This window comes from Homo sapiens, chromosome 16 (assembly GCF_000001405.40).
Source record: "Homo sapiens chromosome 16, GRCh38.p14 Primary Assembly".
NCBI lineage: Eukaryota > Metazoa > Chordata > Mammalia > Primates > Hominidae > Homo > Homo sapiens.
This window is the reverse complement of record NC_000016.10, coordinates 48,993,609-48,999,575: the sequence shown is the minus strand read 5'-3', so window position 1 is coordinate 48,999,575 and position 5,967 is coordinate 48,993,609. Positions and strand designations below refer to the sequence as shown.

General features: G+C 49.3%; 1 annotated feature.

Moving 5' to 3' along the window:
• Window positions 1,996-2,644: an enhancer, noted in NCBI's record as "H3K27ac-H3K4me1 hESC enhancer chr16:49030843-49031491 (GRCh37/hg19 assembly coordinates)". NCBI's record gives its function as "activates a minimal SCP1, AML or CMV promoter by ChIP-STARR-seq in primed H9 embryonic stem cells {active_cell/tissue: H9 hESC(primed)}" and the evidence as "EXISTENCE:reporter gene assay evidence [ECO:0000049][PMID:30033119]".

Here is a 5,967-nt window from a genome sequence, read left to right as displayed (position 1 = left end):
TCTTCACATGCTTCCAGAGGCCAAACCCAAGCCCATCTCTCCCTTTCATCCACAGATGTGACAAACCAAAAGAAAGAAAGCCATGAGAGTATAATCACTACTGCAGAGGAATGGGAGAGGAAGAAACACCAAACATCAGCACACTATTTCTGTTGTCCAAAGGAGAAAAGAAGCTGGATTCTGTACTTTGACATCCCAAATGCTTATCAAATTACAGCAGGTCTCGACCTTCCTGACTGGAAGTCTCGAGGCAGTGAATAAATAGTGCGTGACACATGGAGGCCCCCACAGAGGGTAAAGGTCACCAGGTTTGAGCTGCTATAATGAAGAGTTTATTAAAGCGCTGGCAGATAAACCTTCCCACAGACTAAGGGCTTGTCAGCAAAGAGTTCCTGTCACCATGCAAGGCCCAGGTGGCTCCACAGAGCCAGGCTCAGGCTCTCAGCTGGCAAAAAGAGGCTCTCCTCCCCCTATTCAATTCGCTTCGCTCATGCAGGTATTTTCTCTCCAACAGAGGAGGCTGATTACAGATGTGTCTTCTGCCTGCAAGAGGGAAGTAAAGTGCGTTCCTAAGATTGCATGTGACAGTTATGTACAGGATGAGAAAGCTGAATTCACACCGATAGGAAATAGTAAGAAAACTTCGACAAGCCCTCAGTCTGGTCCCCTCCACCCAAGACCACAAAGTGAAGCCCAATTTCATTGCAGCCTCGAATTCCTGGGCTCAAGCAATCCTCTCACCTCAGCCTCCCAAGTAGCTGAGACTATAGGTGTGCGCCACCACGTCCGGCTAATTTTTAAACTTTTTTGTAGAAAAGGGGTTTGCTACATTGCCCAGGCTGGTCTCAAACTCCTGGCCTCAAGCAATCTTCCTGCCTTGGCCTCCTAAAGCACTGGGATAATAGGTGTGAGCCATCGCCCCTGGCCTGTGTGTCTTTTTCTTTATATCGCTAGCCTCTACTTTAATTTTCTGGTTCAAATCTGGTAATCAGAGCAATCTGTACTTCCTCAAGACAGCCTCTGCCATTGCCATTCAGGGGAAATGAGAAAGAGCTGGTCTTTCTCTCCTTTTAAGGATTATTCAGGGATTGGAGACCCTGTTCTCCTGGGCTTCCCTCCCACTGGGCTGCTCATCAGGCCTCTCCCGGCCTTTCCTTTGACTTCCCTGGCCAGAGGCAGGCAGCCATGGTGGCAACACCCTTCAACAATTCCCTTCCTCTCAGTGGGCCTCAGTGAGGCATTGTCATTTACTATTAATGTCCTGATGGGCAGACACGCTGACCAGGAGATCCTTCATTTTCAGAGGGGTTTTAGTTGCCTCTAAATGCAAGCAAGATGATCTGGAAAGAGAGGCTTCTATGCTCTGGGACTAGACAGCTGGGGGAGCCAAGGCATGGCTGGGCATTCCCTGGGGACACTCAGCACATATTTCTTGAGCACCTAATAAGTGCCGGGCCCCATGCTAGGCATGTGGGATGCATTTGTGAATGAAAGAGAGCAAGATCCCTGCCTTGTGGAGTCCAGATTCCAGAAGAGAAGACAGGAAACAAACAGCGTGCATAAGAAACAAACAAATATGTAGTGTGTTAAAAGGTGATAAATGTTATGGGGTCAAAGGAGGCATGTGGGCTAAGGAGGCAGGATGCCCATGGTCAGGGCTGTGGGGGCAGGTGGCAGAGTGGCCTGAACGCTGTCAGGACTGGAGGAGAAGCAGCTGGCCCAGGCTGGGGGTGGAGAGAGGAAGAGCAGGGGCGGGGCAGGGCAGGTTTGCAAAGCAGGGATGCTTGCCCTCAGTAGGGATTATTCTGTGAAGTCAAGGAATGGGTTCCAAAAGTGGAAGCAGCTGGCTGAGAGCCACGGAGGAAAGGAAGCAGGGGGAGGGCACTTAAAGCAGTTGAGTCTGGCTGGCACTGGTGCTGCCGGGAGAGTGGGCTGGACACACAGTGGGGGCCCAACTGGAAAGCTCCTTCATTACAGCAGGGTCTGGCTTTTGTCCTGAGTCGAGGGAGGGCTGGGAATGGACAGTGTCTGGAGTCCTGTGAACACAGCTGAGGAGTCCCAAGAGGAGGACAGTAGCTGTGAGCGCTGCTCTCCCAAACTTCCCACTTTCCTCTTCTTTCAGCCACGCAGGACCATGGAGTGCCTCTGCCCCCTGAGCATGAGTATGGCCATGTGACCCGCTTTGGCCGCTGCAATGAGTGTGGAAGGACCATGTCACTTCCAGGTGGGGTGAGACTCTGATGACCTGTGGCAGTCAGCCGCAGCCTCCCTCCCCTGGACAGCTGACCCATGGTATCGAGGACGGTGGCCCTGGATGGTTGCCCAGACCTGAAGCCAGGTTCATGTGAACAAGAAATAAGCTTCTGTGGCACTAAGAGACTTGAGGTTTGTTTTTACTGCAACATATCTTAGCCTATGGTGACACAAGGATGATTTCAGAGCCCCAGTTCCTCACAAGACTCAAATCTATTCCTGGAAGTCAGGCAGAATCTTCCCAATCTCCACGTAGTTCAAGGCACCTTCCTCATGCCCAGCCAGCGCCGATCTGGTTCCCACCCTGCAGGTTCTGCCAGTGGTTACCATTGATTAGCCCTGATATTTCTCCAGAACTCTGTGAAACTGCTTGAGTCTCCTATCTTAGGTTGTCCATCCAATAGTGCTGCAAGGCAAGCAAAGAGTGACCCCAGTGAGCTCATTTTGCAGAGGCAGAAACTGAGACACAAGTGAACCAGATAACTCAGGATGGGCTTCCAGCCTGGACCTTCTAGGCCGTCGTCTTCCCATCCTAGGAGCTGAGGAGGGTCCCCGTGGGGCTGAGAAGCAGGGGGTGCTCTGAGTTGCAGGCCACAGATTTCTTTTCTTTCTTTCTTTCTTTCTTTCTTTCTTTCTTTCTTTCTTTCTTTCTTTCTTTCTTTCTTTCTTTCTTCCTTCCTTCCTTCCTTCCTTTTTTTCTTTCTTTCTTCCTTCCTTTCTTCCTCTTTCTTTCTTTTCCTTCCTTCCTTCCTTCCTTTCTTTCTCTCCCTCTCTCTGTCTCTCACCTTCTTTCTTTCTTTGTTTTTTTTTTGAAACAGGATCTCACTCTGTCACCCAGGCAAGAGTGCAGTGGTTTGAACACAGCTCACTGCAGCCTCCAACTTCCAGGCCCAAGCAATCCTCTCACCTCAGCCTCCTGAGTAGCTGGGAACACAGGCGTGCGCCAACCACACCCGGCTAATTTTTTTTATTTTTTATAGAGATGGGGTTTCGCCATCTTGCCCAGGCTGAGAGAGCACACATTCCTGATCTTTCCTTGGCCATGAGGGAGACTCTACGTTGTTCACACCAGGCTGCCACAGAGCAAGAAGGAGGCAGCCTGGGGCCTTGGGTACGTCAAAACTCTTCTCCGGTGCCATCCCCATCTGTCCCCTGCCCCATCTGCCCCAGGCACATGGACAACTTGACAGTGTTGCTAGCGGGCCAGGCTCCTGCTGCCTCGCAACTCACACAGGAGTTTCTTAACTTCAAGAGCTCTACCTCTCCCCTTTGTGTTTGTTCCACATCAACTCTTACTCATGCTTCTGAGCTTGGCCTGTATGTCACCTCCTCAGGGTGGTTTTCCCTGATTTCCCAGACAGGTGCTGCACCACCTGCTCCCACACTCCCAGCGCGACCCCTTCATGACATCCTGACCTGTCAGCAATGTGCTCGTCTTTGAAAAATGTCCACTTCCCCTTCTAGGCTGTAAGCACAATGAGGGTACAGTCCCTTTCAGTTTTCTTCATCCCAAGGTTTTGAGCATAAGAAGCCACACTAAATATTCGTAGACAGCGTGAATAAATTGTCAAAAGCTGTACAAACAGGAGGGATTTTTGTCTGTCTACATTAAATGGCAATTCCACCTTCCCCAGCTTAGGAAGGATTTCACGGATCCACTCACCATAGGGGCTTGATTGCATTTTAAATAAAAAGACCCCGTCCCCAGACACTGTGGGCAGCCTGCATCAGAGCTTTTCCCTGGTAATGAACTTCCCTGGCATTATTGCTGCATTAAATTGTGTTAATCAAATGGGAAGTGGTAAGCGGTTTTCCTCCCCGTGTAATCCTTCCTGAGCTGTACACTCTCAGTGGGAAAATGAAAAGGCTGACACGAATCAGAGTCCAGGACGGATCAAAGAACAGCAGCAGTTTTGATTTGTGTTAATTTTGCGTGTACAAGAAAACCCTCCTCATTCCTCTTTATTAAAAGGAGGCAGAAGCATGACAATAACATGCTGTTTGAAGAGCGACAATGAAAAGCAGAACATTTTGCTCAGACACTAAAGAGACAGAGGGAAAGGAAGAGCAACTCACACAATGTCACGCTGTCTCTGTACCTGAGAACAAAGCCTGTTTGCTAAACTTGTTTGAAGGATCCACATTTTCAGGTGTGGGTGGGTGGGCGAGAGCTTTGCTTTCCTTTTACACCCAGTGGCCTGCAGTTCAGGATTCAAATGAACTCATCTTTCATTCCTTCTTTCAGGGAAGAGTCACTAAACTCTGTGCTGGGCATAGAGAGATGAGCGAGCCACAGCCCTTACTCTCAGGATGCTCCTAGTCTGCTGGGACAGTGGAAATAAATCCAGGTGCTTATGCTACCAGTTGGGGGGTGCTGTTGCAATGGAGGAAGGTCTCAGATGCTGGGGAGACACAAGGGCAGGAGACGGTGCTAGGCAAGGGAGTTGGGCCTCCAGTATCCACACTGTCCTTCCCCCATGGAGCCTTGGCCTGTGGTGAGTGTGGACAACCAGCTCTGAAATTCTCCTTCAGAGCCAAGGAGTCTTCCAGTTTCTCAGCCTCAGAAAAAGTTCCCCAAATGTAAGTGTCTCTCAACAGTCTCTAGTATCAATTCATACACTTAACAAAGACCATTCAGAGCAGATCTGGAGCAGGTGAAAAGCTCCACTCACGTCCCTCATCTCAGAAGTTAGGCTGGTGAAGCCGCAAGATCTCACCTACCATCAGGGACTCTTGTTGAGACTGTGCAAGATCTTGGGGAAGGAAGAAAAGACAAGAGGGAAGTAAGTCAAACAGGCAAAGCAGGTCCGGAACAGGCAGAGCTCACTCCGGTTCCACTGGAGTACTCCTCCCTTAAAAGTCGGACACTTAGGAATTTAGAGCATCTTTGCCGACTAGGAGAGTTATAGCGCAAATCCCCTTTACTGAGCCCTTACTATTTTCCAGGCACAAGACATTCATCATTTCACTGTAATACTACCTTTAACGCCCACTTATCACAATTATCAGATGAGGCAAGTGACTTTCAGAGAGATTCAGTAATGTGCCTGAGTTCACGCAGTGACAGGGCCAAAATTTTTGATCAGTTCACCCTCAAGCCCATTTTATTTTCACTGGAGCCTGCTGAGGGTTTCTGAGTGCACTTGCAGTATTTTATGTGGTTTTACATAAGCTAGAGAGCAGCAAAGCACAAGTGGCCCAGTTGCCCAAGATTTTTAAAAAGTCATTACATTTTCAGACTGTTAGTTGCTATGGAAGACTGTGCCCTTTTGGTATTTGGGAAACATAGGAACCAGCAAGATTGTAGAGCCACTGTGGCATTTCACGTGGCACTGGTAAGCTAGACACCTCTGATGAAATTGGGGTCCCAGACGCTCCCGAGCCCTTGTCTCGGGTAGGCCAGGGCTGCTGGGATGGGGAGTGAAGGGAAGGACACTGGGCTGGAAGCAGGACATCCTGGCCCAAGACGCTTCTCTGCCATTCACTTACCCCAGACCTTTAGGCAGTGACGTTTGTCTGCATTTGTTCTTCAGAAAAATGAGGTTACTTATACCTGCTAGTTGTAAGGATGTTGTACGTAATTAGTGATCAAAGATGATGACTGTGAATACCTCCCAAATAGGACTCACTCCGCAAATGTGGAGAAGTGTCCGGGTGTCAGCTGAAATGGATCTGGAATGAATCACAGGGAAAAGAAGGGAAAACATGCTTATG